Below are 15,275 nucleotides of genomic sequence, written 5' to 3' on the forward strand. Positions count from 1 at the left end.
GTGGGCTCCAACCTGCAGTGGGAAAGAGCTGTCTAAGTAGCCTGGGACAGGGCTGAGGTCCAATGCCAAGGGCCCAAGAAGCACAAAACAGAGAGCTGAGGAGAGATGCTGACTGACACACACTCCTCAGAGTCTCATCCTGCACAACTCAGCCAGGATGTCCTCGCCTTTGGAAAGCCTTCCTTGGCCCCCTGTTTCTCAGTCACAAATTTCTCTGCTGTGCTGTCCATCATGGAACTAGGGCTGATATTTGAGACAAGTAACACTTCATAGAGCACAAACTCAGGACCAAATGGACATCACATCCTAAGCCAGGCACTGATCCTTAGTTCCTGGATCCAGGGACAGGGTGGGGTGGGGAGAAGGAGGTATCAGGCTGGAATGGCTGGTAGACTGGAATATTGGGCATCATCACTTGGGGGGCTCAGGGAGCAAATATTTACCCTTTATTATGGAAGTAGTTCACTACTTTCACAACTTCCAGGCTTTAACTGATGTGAGCTGGTGAGAGTCCACTCCAAACAGAGCCTGCACCTCTCCCAGGACACTCATCATGTCGTCCGGTACTCTTTGACAAGCCTATCTCCTCCACAAGACTCCATGATCCTTGGGGCAGGGACTATGTCTTTTATCTCTGCATCCCTGGTGCCAAATGGGGCTCCTGGCTCCTAAAAAGCCCTAGTAAATGTTGCATGGATGCAGCAGGAGTTCTCCTTCCCAGAGCTGTCAGCTTCACCCTTGGGCAAGAACATTTAATATCCTGAAAGGAATTGTCCAAATTAGTGAAGGGAGGCCCAAGGCACCATCCCAGGAGTCCCATAGTGGGGCAGGACAGGGGAATGCAACAAAGACTCTAACCGCCCCTCTTCTAGGGAGACTGGTGGAGCACATCTCCTGGGACTGACCTTCTGCGCTGCACAAAGTGGAAACCTCAAGGTCAAAGTGGTGTCTGTGCCCTTAACTCCAGCACCGGGGAAAGTGTCTGGGGAGACCCAGTCTTTGGCCCTCACCCCTGCAAGCATTCCTCCTCTCTAGGCCAGTAGCAGCAGAGTTTACTCAAAGATCCCAGGGGCTTGGGAATGTAGAACCTCACAGCTGGCTCCTGAAATGGAGTTCAGCAGGACAGCCTGGGCCACCACTTCCAAGAAAGGAAGTGGTGCTGGTGCCCACTGAGTAAAGAGAAGGAAAAACCTACAGGTGGGAGTCAGGGGAGTCAGAGCCAGAACACACCAGGATTCTCACGTCCAACCCCAATCAGCTCTCTTCTCACACTATGCACAAGGAAGAGGCACAGCCCATGGCAGTCCAGATAGTGGGTGACCGTGAATAAATTGGGAGCATGATTGAGCCCAGGCTCTGAGCCTCTGGTTACAGAGCTCACTCATGTCCCCCTGCATTCACCACAAAGAAGGACTCAATGGCCAGAAGCCACTCATCAGTTCCCACCTGCCCGGACTGGCCGCCAACCTAGAGCATCTTTACTCAGTGGGTTCAACTTCTCCCAAGCCTAGGTCAGGCTGATTTATCCAGGCCTAATCCCAACAGCAGGTATGGCCTGGAACTCCACTTCATTTATTTATAAGCACCTACTATGTGCCAGCTCCCTCTGCCTGGCATCTGGTGTTCCTGGAGAGATTTCCCCTCCTGCACCACTGATATGGTTTGGCTGTGCCCCCACCCAAATCTCATCTTGAGTTGTAGTTCCCATAATCCCCACGTGTCATGGAAGGGACCCTGTGGGAGGTAATTGAATCATGGGGCAATTACCTTCATGCTGTTCTCGTGATAATGGGTGAGTTCTCACAAGATCTGATGGTTTTATAAGGGGCTCTTCCCTCTTTGCTCAGCACTTCTCCTTCCTGCCACCATGTGAAGAAGGATGTTTTTGCTTCCCCTTCTGCCATGACTGTAAGTTTCCTGAAGCCTCCCCAGCCATGTGGAACTGTGGGTCAATTAAACCTCTTTCCTTTATAAATTACCCAGTCTCAGGCAGTTCTTTATAGCAGTGGGAGAACAGACTAATACAACCACCAAGCTGCAGCCCTCCCTCCAAGCCTACTGGAAGCGCCTTAGCAATATGACAGGGTCTCTATCACAGGCTCTGATTGCCACTTCAATGAGATGCTGAAAATCTGGGACAAGAGCTCTGCCCAAATCCCAGCTGCTCAGCTAGGCTCTAACAATGCAGCGAGCACACCATCATCTTTCCTTTTCCTGGCAGAGGGACTCAAGTCCTGCTCACACTTTCTCATCAGCATCTTGCTAATGGCTCATGGACCAATCTCAAACCATGTAGATCCCTGTCTACGCCGCATTATTAATTTTCGGTTAACAACAGGAGTGCTTCCCAGATCCACCACATTAGGCACCACGGTCAGCCAGACCAGTCCCAATCAGATTCAAGCCCTGATATCTTACCCACCATGATATGTTGGAATGGGAGTGCTGGCTAGACTCTGGGGACCAGCCCAGCAGCTGGTTAGTTTCCCTTTGACCTGAGCCCACCTATTGATAGTTTTATTCCTTTTCCTCACCAGCATGCCATTGGTAATTCAAAATGACTAAAAGCTGCATTTACAAGTGTGCAGACACCTACCACCCACGGGTCTCATGGGTGTTGTCCCTCGGTTCTAAGGGTGTGTGAAGCCACCATATCATGTGCAATTCAAGAATTCAAAACCTAGGCCAGCACAGGACTTGCATCTGAATTCTATAATGGTAATAAACTTCACAGTAGTCTTCAGCTCAGACTCTCAAGGAACCTGTGTGACAACAAACCCTCTCCTCCTGCACACCTCGTACATGCTACAGGAGTGCAGAGAGGTTAAGGTGCAAATGATCCCTGAGGAAAACACTCCCAATTCACGCCATCTGGACACAAAGGCCATTCCTCCCAGCAGAGAAGGTTGAGTCTCTGCTGTTCCCTGTACTTAAAACTGTGAGGTGCTAGCCCTGCCTGCAGATGTCTTGGGGTCCGAATACTTCAGAACACAGGGCCAGGCCACCATGATGTTGGGCTTTTTCTTAATGGAAACTGCCTGTTTGCCAAGGAGCCCCTGTCCACTGGGTCTGCTCATAAGGGGTTCTTTTCACACCCCTGGAATAAATGCTTGCATAGGGCATACAGAGCTCTTCTTACTGATAACAACTTTATAAAATACATTTGAATGATGTTCCAAGTCACTCTCTCTTCTATTTCCTCCCTCATTTCTTTGTCATAGATGGTGCCCTTCCAACAGGTCTGGATTCCTAAAAAAAAAAGACTACATCAAGGCCTAAATGTGAAGATCTATTTTCCTCTGAAGAAGGTCAGGGTTCCACAGATTAGGACCCCCAAACAGCTGTTAATAGCCATTCTCCAGCTGACTACTGCTGGCCAAAACCTGCAGGAGCCTTCCTCCTGGTCTTCGTTTCTTGCCTTCCAGGTCTTCTCCTAGCTAATCCAATCCTAAGCGGGGAGGCACGAGGGGCTTTTTTCTCCACCAGCCTGTATCTCAGCAGCCTTGCTCAGGCTCTTTCAACTTCACTTCCGTTCGACATCTCCCCCACTTCACTGACTTTCTCTCCTGGCCTTTCCCTTCAATCATTCATCTCCACATTTGGGAGACAGGGCTCCTCTCCCAGCCAGCTGCTCTGTGCAGTGTGAAGTCATAGTTGGCAGCAACAGGCAGAATGCCCCATTCTCTAAAGCAGAAACCTCAAAGAACCCAAAAAGTGAGTCAGTGTTTCTGAAAGCTGTCCCGTGCTCAGCTGTGTGCTCCAGACAGTCATTTGGGGGAGTTATGGAGATACAGATGCCCTTTTGACTAAGCGACCCATTCATGTCCATCTTCAGGGTGTGGCCAGTTGGGCCCCAGACCTGTTCCTGTCCTAGGATTCCTCAGAGGCTGCCTGCAAGTTTCCATTCAAGCCCATCTCCTCACCATGACCTGTGCAGCTGCACAGAGTGCTGTCCTGGAGAGAAGGATGTTGCCAAGGAGAGCATCCACACCTGTGTGTCCAAAGGCTGAGTGTGACCCATGAGTCTTGTTTCCCACAAACGTGAGATCCCAGAACTAACAAGACCAAAGACCAGAAGATAAAGAAGGAAAACTAGCATTGCTGATTCCCTAGGAAGTAAAATGCCACTGGCCAGCAGGAGAATCTGGTTGGGCAGGGGCTGGATGAGACACTGCAAATCTTGCCAAGCAAACACTCTGTGTGTCCCACTGATGTCCCTCAGACCTTCCCACTTTTTGATGCTAGCTGGCTCCCAGTGGCCAGCACCTGCTTCTCTCTTCCTGAGAGCTTTCTCTGGAGTGGGCCAAGTGTCTGCAGGGCTTAATACCCCAGGAGCAGCCCTCCTAGCAATGATGGCGGACAAATATCCCAGATCCAGTTTCCCACAGTGATTGCTAGCTCGGTACACACTCTTCCTGACTTCCCATCTCAGTTCCCCATTCCCCTACCTAGAAGTCCTGAGATTACTTCCCACATAAATCACTTGCCCTTGAATATTTCTCTCAGGATCTGCTTCTAGGGATTCCCAAACTAAGACACCTTTTTGTCTACCAGCTGCTACACATGGGAACCCATGTGTGTCTTTCCAGCTCTGTCTCCTACCGCATGACTCAGACCCCAATAATCCACTTAAAAGAATAAAGAGTTGCACTGTTTGAGCTTTTACTGTGTGTCAGTCTCTGCATTTACCCCCCTAATCTCATTTCAATCCCATAACCACCCTAACGAACAGGTTTTATCATTCTTGTTTATAAATGAAAGGCACCAAGAGGTTGAGCGACCTTCTCAAACCTCACACGGCTAAAAGAGGTTGATTATTGGGTATGGATATACAGTTAGATGGAAGAAATAAGACCTAATGTTCAATAGATCAGTAGGGTGACTATAGTTCACATTAATCTATTGTACATTTCCAAATAGCGAGAAGAAAGTAATTCAAATGTTCCTAGAATAAAGAAAAGATAAATATTTAAGGTGATGGCTATCCCAATAACCCTGATTTGATCTTTACACATTATACGAATGTATTAGATTATCACATGTACCCCAAAATATGTATGTCTATTATGTATCAATAAAAATAATTTTTTTAAAAAAAAGCAAAGATAATTTTTTTAAATGTTACTTTAAGTTCAGGGATACATGTGCAGAATGTGCAGGTTTGTTACACGGGTATACATATGCCATGGTGGTTTGCTGCACCTATCAACCCATCATCTACATTTTAAGCCTCACATGCATTAGGTATTTGTCCTAACGCTCTCCCTCCCCTTTCTCCCCACCTGCCAACAGGCCCCAGTGTGTGATGTTCCTCTCCTTGTGTCCGTGTGTTCTCATTGTTCAACTCCCACTTATGAGTGAGAACATGTGGTGTCTGGTTTTCTGTTCTTGTGTTAGTCAAGCAAAGGTAATTTTTTAAGTGAAGTCCAGATACAAACTCTCTCCTCCATTGGATTCCGCAGCAGTTGCTCTTAATCCCAACAATCTAATGCCTTTCAGACACCTGCTCTCGCCAGTCTTGGGATTTCTCTCCTTCTGGCATACTCTCTCCCCTATTACCTTCTAACTTGAAAAATTAAAAAAAAGTCTTGCCTATTTCACAGAGTTCTTGAGATGATTCAACAAGCCACTGTCTATAAAAAAATCACAATTAACGATAACACATTATAGAAATGTAGGGAAGCCAGATTTTGATCACTTCTACTCCTACAATCAGCCATTTCTAATGCTGCTCACTCTACAAACTCTTCCTTTGATGCCCTGATCCTTGGCCAGGTTCTCCTTCCAGCCTTATCACAGTCTGTTTTGGGATCAGAGTTTTTGTGGGTGTATCTTTTCTCCCCTCAGAAAGGCCCTTTCCTTTGCACCCTGCTTGCACCCTAGGAGGTGTTAAAAATTCTTTCTGGATGAACTAATCAGTTACATAAAGGTGTGAGAATGGGAGCCCGCCCAAGCCACAGACTCTCATTCCATACATCCAGACCTGCTGGTGAAGGGAAGCGAGGCTGCAGTCACTGGACAAATATTCACTGGGGGCGTGCCACCTGCTGGGCACAGTCTCTGGCTCAGGCACATTCATCAGGTGTCACCTCTCAGCAGAGCAGGGCTACCTGAGTGGTGAGGTACAAGCCCCTCTCCCATTGGATCAAACTCAGTTGGATCAAACCACTTTGACAGGAGGTGAGGGAAAAGGAAAGGAATATGATGGGAAAGATGATGCGTTTCTGAGATTCTTGTTACAGTCTGGGCAATATCCCACATCAGTCCTGCCCTTCCTACCAGGAAAATCAGCATTCTCAGGAGTGCTGAGAAATTGGAGAGAAAGAAGAAAACAATCCAGGGCTGACAGTGACGTTCATAAAAAGTGATTTTCTCCCCCTGCTGCTAAGCTTAGCATGTGGTTCTGTATATGGTGGGAAGACGAGGGATCTGGATTCAGGGTTTAAAATGCATTTCAGCTGGAGCCTTGATGCCTTAGTGTCCGTGTGGGGTGAGAAACACAAGGGATGACAGACTTCCCTGGTTCAAGAGAGCATGGGGAAACCGCAAGCCAGAATGTGTCCACCGCCCAGACTGGCCTACGTGGGCCTCGGCTCTCAGACCCTCCCATCTCACCAGCCAGGCCTTTGAGGCCTCTCCTGCAAGCATCTCCCCAAGGTCCCACAGAGGTCCAAGAGCCCAGCATGGCAGCGATGCTTACGTGAAATCACACTTATTACATGATCTGCCACAGATCTCTTCCTAGGAGGCTACAAACTTCTACAGACATGAGCTCTGGTATATCATCCTAGGGATACAGGAAGCCAGCCAGCCACAGCCCTCTATTTCCTGAGCACTGAAAGGTAACCCAACTGCACACAGCCCGCTTCTGAACAAGGGCTATCCTAAGCCCCCAAAACGGTGACTCCAGGGTCAGCCCTCTCACCCCGGTTTGGCCCCTACTCGTTCTCCAGGCCCTGAATAAATAAAATGGCGGGCCTGACTACAAGAGAAGGCTCCTAAGGACTTTGGGGATGGGAAGGCACACAGGCTGAACAGAGTCTCCCATAACCCTGACCTACCTACTGTAGTCGAACCGGCCCCTAGGTGTGTACAGGGGACAAGGGCGTCCCCTGAATCCCTCATGCTCCCTCCTGCAGACCTGGAGTGTGCCTTATGAATGTGGACAGCTTAATGAAGAGGGGTCCAGTTGCAACAGCTGCCGACCTCATCTTCCGGGATCTGCTCAGCCGCCTTTTCTAATCCATTCCCCACAGCAGCTAGAGATGCCTTGGAAGACACTTATTAAAACTCTCCAGAGGCCGGGCGCGGTGGCTCACGCCTGTCATCCCAGCACTTTGGGAGGCCGAGGCGGGCGGATCACGAGGTCAGGAGATGGAGACCATCCTGGCTAACACGGTGAAACCCCGTCTCTACTAAAAATACAAAAAAAAAAAATTAGCCGGGCGAGGTGGCGGGCACCTGTAGTCCCAGCTACTCAAGAGGCTGAGGCAGGAGAATAGCGCGAACCCCGGGGGGCGGAGCCTGCAGTGAGCCGAGATCGCGCCACTGCACTCCAGCCTGGGCGACAGCGAGACTCCATCTCAAAAAAAAAAACCAAAAAACAAACAAAAAAACAGGCCGGGCGCGGTGGCTCACGCCTGTAATCCCAGCACTTTGGAAGGCCGAGGCGGGCGGATCACGAGGTCAGGAGATGGAGACCATCCTGGCTAACACGGTGAAACCCCGTCTCTACTAAAAATACAAAAAATTAGCCGGGCGCGGTGGCGGGCGCCTGTAGTCCCAGCTACTCAGGAGGCTGAGGCAGGAGAATGGCGCGAACCCGGGAGGCGGAGCTTGCAGTGAGCCGAGATTGCGCCACTGCACTCCGGCCTGGGCGACAGAGCAAGACTCCGTCTCGAAAAAAAAAAAAAAAAAAACAAACCTCTCCAGAAACCTCAAAGAGTCCTGGTTCTGAGGAGAAACCCACACTCCTTACAGTGGCCAGGCGGGCGGGGCCGGGTCTTTCCTGGCTCACAGCTCCTTTCCCTGCTCCCACCTCGGCCATAGCCCTGCAGCCACAGCCATCTGTCTCTGCATCGGAGGCCCCACGCAGGGCCTTTGTTAGTGTCTGCTGGTGCTTCTCCCTGAGACTGTCCCCAGACACACCATTGCCCCTGGTCAACTCCTTCAAGTCTCAGGGGAAATGTGCTTCCTCAGGGACCCCCAGGCCCAGGCTTGGTCAGCGCCCCAGGTCTACATTACCCAGAACCTTCTGTTCCTCCTTCAGGGAATTCACAGTCAAACTCGGAGTCACTGGCTTAGCGTCTAGCTCCGCCCCGACATTGTGGGTCCATCAGGGCCTGTTTTATTCCTGGCTGCATCCCCAGCCCTCGGGCCAGGAGCTCAATGGTATTTGTCAGGTTGCTTGACCCTAACAGGCTGGTTTCATGAGAAGGTGATTGCTGGGACTATTATATTACCTGCCTCCAGCGAGTCCCCAGGCACCTGCCTCCAGGATGGCACTGCGGGGATAGTTGTCCCATGAGCTGGGTGGTGGAACTGTCTTCAGTGCTGAGGCAGTCAGGACAACTGAGCTACCCACAGATGTCACTCTTTCCCCCCAACACCTTCTGACTTCCTGCCCAGAGCCCAAACACACCCTTACTACATCGTTTCTCAAACACAATCCCAATTCCTCCAAAAGCTTCTGTTAAATCTATCTGAAGAGTTCAAGATGAAATACACACAGCTGTCCTGTTGAAGCAGGTTATGTGCTATCACTGTGGCCTCATCCAGTCACAGAGACTCAGGTGGCAAAGCAGTATATTAGGGGGACAAGAGCTTTTTTCTCTGGAGAAGGATATCCTGCCTCTTCTTTGTCTTCTCAAAGGTTTAGTACCAACCATGCGACAGTACATGGCAGAGGCCTCTGCTGCAGGCAAAAGAAGCAGGTCCCCAGATAAGGCTATTTTCCCCAGATAAGCCAAGGCCCCTCCTGGCTTCCCGGAGCTATCATCAGCATCACCCTCAAACACAGCCTCAACAGACCAGGGCCAGATGTGCTCAGCTCATGGGAGATGGCAGAGATGCAATCAGATGTGCAAAGATTCTCAGCCCCTTCCTGGCTGCCTTTAAAAGCCACTGCTCCTGTGGACACAAGTCATCATATTCCATTTTAACTTGAACAACAGGTAACCTTGTGGATTCTGGGAGGCCAGCCTGCAGAAACTTCCTACGGTGTGTGGATCCCAAAGGCATGAGGCAAGTAAGGCTACTTGGTTTGCATCGATGTCACCCCACTCCCTGCAATGGGATCTGTTGCAGTCCTCTAGCCACTATGGCCACAACATCCCTCCAGCATGCCTGGATCATAACCAAGGAAGTGGCAATGTCAGAAACAGGAGACATCCCTTCCAAACAGCCCATCCCCAAGGCCTCCCAAACACTGGCACTCTGTGTGCCCAGGAAGGCTTCCATCTCTCAAAGTCCATTTCTTCCCTCCCACATCCCTCCCACACTCAAGGGGATCCTTCATCTCATCTGACTCCTGCTTGGTCTCCACCCCCTTTGGATGTCCCATTTTAGCTGGAGAAAGGGATATAAAATGATACCCCTCTAAAGGGAATCAAAATAGAGTGGACACAAAGGAAATAAGATTCACAGTGAGAAAGCAATTTGACATTTGCATGATGCTACATCACTGTGTCTCAGGCTATAAAGTGCATGCAAACCACCTGGGCATGTTGTTAAAATGCAAATTCTGACTCATAGGTCAGAATGAGGCGGGGTCTGAGATTCTGCATTTTTAACAAGCTCCCAGGATGGCTGAGGCTGCTAGTCCATAGAACACACTTTGAGTAGCAAGAGTGTGCCTGCACAATGCCTGGCCACAGAGTAGGCACTCACAGTGATTTGCTACGTTGAATTAAACTGCAGGAAGAGCTGGGTTTGATGGCAGGACTCATTAATAAACAGCAAGTGGTAAGCTGAAGCAGTCAAATAAACCAATGGTTCCCAGTGCTGGCTGCACATCAAAATCACCTAGGGAACCTTTTGAAAATGCCAATGCCTGGAGCCCACCCTCAGAGATTGCAATTTCATTGGTCTGCAGTAGAGTCTGAGTATTTTTTAAAGGTTCCTTAGGGGATCAAGTTAGAGGGCCAACGAATTCAACAAAACGATGTCATTGCCTGCAATGTGCCAAGCATCGTGCCCTGAGTGAGGCATTGGACATACAGAGTTGAGTGGGACCAGGTACTGCCCACAGCAAACTTGAAGACTAATAAGGGAAATAAATCTATGTGTAATTATAATGGAAAAACTACTATTAGGCATAAGTTCTATAAACTGGTTTGGGAATACAGATGAAGAAACAACTGATCCAAGATAGAGGAAATGAGAGGAAAAAGAAGACAGTGACGAAGAGGTAGTGATATATGCACCTTAATGGATGCATAGGAGTTTTCTAGACAGACAAGAGAAGCAGCTGCCCCAAACCTCTGTTCTTCCCCATTATTGGTCATGGGGAGATGATGTTTGGCCAGCTGTCGGGGTCCTAAATTCTAGGCAGCTGCCTACTGCCGCCATGGGTTGATAAGGAAGGTGTATGCACAAAGAACAAGGTTAATCCAATGTGTGTTCTGTTACCAGCTGGTGCTATTTGGAAGACCACATGGGAGTGGCTAGGATGCCCTATCAGTCAGAGACCAGTCAGGAAAACGGAATTCACATCCTATACTTGAGAGAGGAAATTTAATGGGGAAACGGGTGACATCTTGGAGTTGCTAAAAAGCCAAACAGGTAGCCACAAGGCAACACAGAGATAAGCAACAGCAGAAAGACCCCAGGCTGAAGGGATAAAAGGAGGAAGTGGTGCTGTGAAGCCCAGGGTCAGAGCCGTCTGGCAGGAGCCAGGAACAGCAGGGACTGCCCAGCAGAAGCTGCAAATACTAAGAAACACAACCATTGCTAAAGATGCAAAGACCACTACCCAGAGAGTGAGGCAGGGAGCTTGCCCTCTCTGTTCCTGACCACAGACTCAAACAGTGCCTTCCATTGGCCAAACCCAGCCCCCAGCCAGTTGGCAAAGGGTCCTGGGAGATGTAATTTCCAGGGGTCAGGCCTGAAGGGCAGGGAATGGATCTGGGCACTGACAGGTAAATGACAGACTCATTCTGGGCTTCTGGCAAAAGCAGGCTAAACATATCCCTCATCCCCTTCCCTACCTTCAAACTCTATCTTGCCAGCCAATGCAGTACAGACACTGTCCACATAGGATCTGGGGAGGCCACCCGGCAGGTCACATCCAGCTGTAAATACCCTCTTCTATGTGTCCTCATGGTGCTACACAAATAACAAATATTATCAATTTCTCTGTGTGCAATGATGTACAAGTGTTTATGAAGCACTGCCCCAAGAAAAAGCTAAGAAAGAGGGAATGAAGGGAGCCCACACCTAGGAAGAAATGTTTTTCTTGAATAGGGAGGGCCTCTCAAAGGGAGGCAGCCTCAGACCCCTCTAACTGTGCTGGCCTCCTGGAAGCACCAGGAGAGAAGCAATTCGAAGAGCAGCCCGATTCCAAAACAGAGAGCAATGACCTGATCTATCTTCCTCGCGGAAGCCTGAAGATGGAAGAAATTCTTAAAATGAAACCCAAAAAAGCCCTAGCCTCAGGTTTTCAAAGAAATAAAGGAATGCTACAGAATGTCCTGTATCTCAAGCAGTTGTTCCTCTGCAATTCCTCAATTGGTTTCTTGCCTTTGCACCATGATGGTTTGGAACTGAACAAACTGGCCAGAGGGAAAGCTCAGATGCAGGAACAACTCTCCCAGGTGGTGCCTGTGAAGATGATGCTGCTGGGTCTTCCCCAAGGGCAGGAGAGAGCGAACACCTGGAGCAACTTGCCCCTGGTTTTATTTAGAAATTCCTCTAAGTTTACAGAGTCTTTAGAGAAAGCAGAAGCCTTCTCTCATACAGCTCATATCACTGAGTTCTTCTGATTTATTTGTAAATGGATCATGAAAACTCGTCCTAAAAAGCTAACCAAAGAGCATAACTTCTGCGTCAACTTCCATCAGAGAGCGGGCTCCTGGGACAGCTGCCACCTTGGATGGAAGGCAGCTTTGGGAGAGACAAACAGAGCAGTGAGCAGGGAGGGAAACACCCTGCCTGTGACCCAGAGCAGTGAGATGTTCCACTGAGAGCCCAGCACACCATTTTCATTCAAGTGGCATTTATATACTCCACTCATTAAAAAAATTAATGCACTATTGTTTTAATTGAGGGCAAATTTACATAACATAAAATTAGCCATCTTAACATGTATAATTTAGTGGCATTTAATACACTCACAATGTCATGCAAACATCACTTCTATTTAGTGCCAAAGCATTGTCATCACCCCCCAAAAAATATCCTGTATCTATTGAGCAGTCACACTCCCCTTTCTTCCCTTTCCCCAGTCCCTGGCAACTATGGATTTATCAATTCTGGACATTTGATATAAATGGAATCATAAAATATGCACATGCATTTGTATCTGGCTTATTTCACTTAACACATTTTTGAGGTTAGGTTCATCCATGTTGTAGCATGTATCAAAATGTCACTCTTTTATGGCTGAATAATAGGCCGTTATAGAGATAGACCACATGTTTATTCATTCATCAGATGATGGACATTTTGGAGTGTTTCCACCTTTTGGCTATTTTAAATAGTGCCACTACAGCCATTCATGTTTATGTTTTTTGTTGAAATATCTACTTTCAATTATTTTGGGTATACACCCAGAAGAATTGTCCATTTTTAAAGGATTTGAGAGAAGATGTAATATAAAATAGCATAATTAGGAATGTAAGCAAAATAGACTTATTAAAAGGGAACAAAGGAGTATGTGTTAACAGGAGTCCAAGGTGAACTAGTTCTCACAATCAGGCACTGAATGTGGCCACAGGTTTCCTGGCAGCTAAGGTGAAAAGGGAAACAAATCAAGTCACTACAAGTCAGCTGTAGAGATAAACATGTTTTCCCTGACACTAGATCCAGAAAAGAACCTGTAGCATAGATCCTTCTATAAAAGATTGTGTGTGACATTGCAGAGGACATGTTCTTATATTTCTACAAGAGACAGAAATGTTCTTCAAATGAGTGGTTTTGTTTTTTCTTTTCTAATCAACTCTATATGGCTCATGAACACATTTAAACTGTAATTCAATAAACCCAATTTTGTAGAATAAAGCAAATACAGCCCAGATACATTGCTTTCTAAATACCCAATTTATTACATGAATCAAATGTGAAGAATCCAAAGAAATAAAGGTGGAAGCATCCATTTAAAGTCTCTAACAGGCCGGGCACGGTGGCTCACACCTGTAATCCCAGCACTTTGGGAGGCCGAGGTGGGCACATCACGAGGTCAGGAGATCGAGACCATCCTGGCTAACACGGTGAAACCCCGTCTCTATTAAAAATACAAAAAAAATTAGCTGGGCATGGTGGCAGGCGCCTGTAGTCCCAGCTACTTGGGAGGCTGAGGCAGGAGAATGGAGTGAACCTGGGAGGCGGAGCTTGCAGTGAGCCGAGATCGCGCCACTGCACTCCAGCCTGGGTGACAGAGTGAGACTCCATCTCAAAAAATAAAAATAAAATAAAAAGTCTCTAACAGTTCATTTCTTCAGCATGTCTCTGAATTCTTTAACACGTGCCCATAGTGCAGACATTTTATGCTGGTGGTCAAAGTGATGGCCCTTAGCTTACATATGAGGCAAGGTGTGTAAAGGGTAAAGCTGCCATTTAGCTGTGGATGTTCACAAGACACTTCTCTGTTGATGGACCTCGTTCCTACCCAAAAATACAGTAACTGAGACTTGCACTTGGCTGACCTCTGACCCTCCCTTCTCCCAGCTCCTCCTACCTCTCCAACCTGGTAGATACTTCATGGAAGCTGTTTTGGCTGCTGCATCACACACACACACACACACACACACACACACACACACACACACACACACACACACACACATCCCAGGCCCCCATGGCCAGCAGTATGTCCCACTCTGTGGCTGCCATTGGCAGAGCAAAAATCCATCAGACATCCAAAGAAGACCCATGCCTGAAGGGGAAATGTCAGGGCCCCCACACTGAGTGGAGTCCAACTCCATCCTCACCCTATACTGAGTCAGAAACAGCCCCAGGAAAGCTGGTCACTGCACCGATGCCCACGCTGAGACATTGCAGGGCTGTGGGGTCCCATCGCCTGGGCACCTGACGCCAACAGCCCATGCAGAATGGCCCCGTATGTGTGAGGTTTAAGCCATAGTAAAAATGTGCTTCTTTCTATGCCTGACTGAGACTAGCACAAATGTCTTTCTGGTGTGGATTTTCTTGCATGGAACATTTATTGACAGCTGCTCCCTGGAGTCATGGTCTCACTTCCTGTCATCCTTAGGCAGCCGTCTGATGTTGGGGTGAGCCATCATTCCCGTTTCACACATGAGGAAACAGAGGCCCACCAGGATTGAGTAACTTGCTCAAAGCCCCCCAGCTGTTAGGTTCACAGCTCTTCTCCACTGGAGGAAACTCTACTTTTAAAGGTGTCTGGGTTCTCCCACTTTCTATCCTTGCAGCCTGAATAAAATAAAGGCGGGACAAGGACAATGAAAGAGGAACAGGGGGACAAGCTGCCCACACGTGTCCACTTGAGATGCTGTGAGGGTGTGCCCACAGCCCCTCTCTAGGAACAGTGGAGACTAAGGCCCAGACAGACAGACAGACAGACAGACAAGGCAGCTCGGCCTCACTCTGGGGTACGAGGAGAGCTCTGTGGTTCAGAAGCGGGAGTGTAGATGGACTTCAAATAATAATCACAAACACGCAGTGTTTTCTATGTGCTGGGCACTATTTTACATGCTCTGCCTTCATTAACTTATTACGGCCCTCACACAGTCCTGCGAGGTAAATGCTAATACTATCACCATTTTACAAAGAAGAAACCGAGGCACAGAGGAGTCAAGTCACTTACCTAAGGTCACACAGCTTAAGTAAGATTTGAAACGAGGCGGCCAAGTGCAGTGGCTCACACCTGTAATCCCAGCACTTTGGGAGGATAAGGCGGGTGGATCACCTGAGGTCAGGAGTTCGAGACCAGCCTGACAAACATTGTGAAACCCCGTCTCTACTAAAAATACAAAATTAGCCAGGCGTGGTGGCACATGTCTGTAGTCCCAGCTACTCAGGAGGCTGAGGCAGGATAACTGCTTGAACCTGGGAGGTGGAGGTTGCAGCAAGCCAAGATC

At 48.4% G+C, this 15,275-nt stretch overlaps 1 protein-coding gene across 31 annotated transcripts in view; it reads right to left on the reverse strand.

Moving 5' to 3' along the window:
* NTRK3 (neurotrophic receptor tyrosine kinase 3) overlaps positions 1-15,275 on the reverse strand; it is a 396,989-nt gene that overhangs the window by 339,008 nt on the left and 42,706 nt on the right. For 2 of the 31 annotated variants that reach the window (XM_017022243.2, NM_001320135.2), the window contains exon 1: positions 7,062-7,216. The gene's annotated coding sequence lies outside the window, so the exon portion shown is untranslated. 31 annotated transcript variants of the gene reach the window in all.

Source organism: Homo sapiens, chromosome 15 (genome assembly GCF_000001405.40).
Source record: "Homo sapiens chromosome 15, GRCh38.p14 Primary Assembly".
Taxonomy (NCBI): domain Eukaryota; kingdom Metazoa; phylum Chordata; class Mammalia; order Primates; family Hominidae; genus Homo; species Homo sapiens.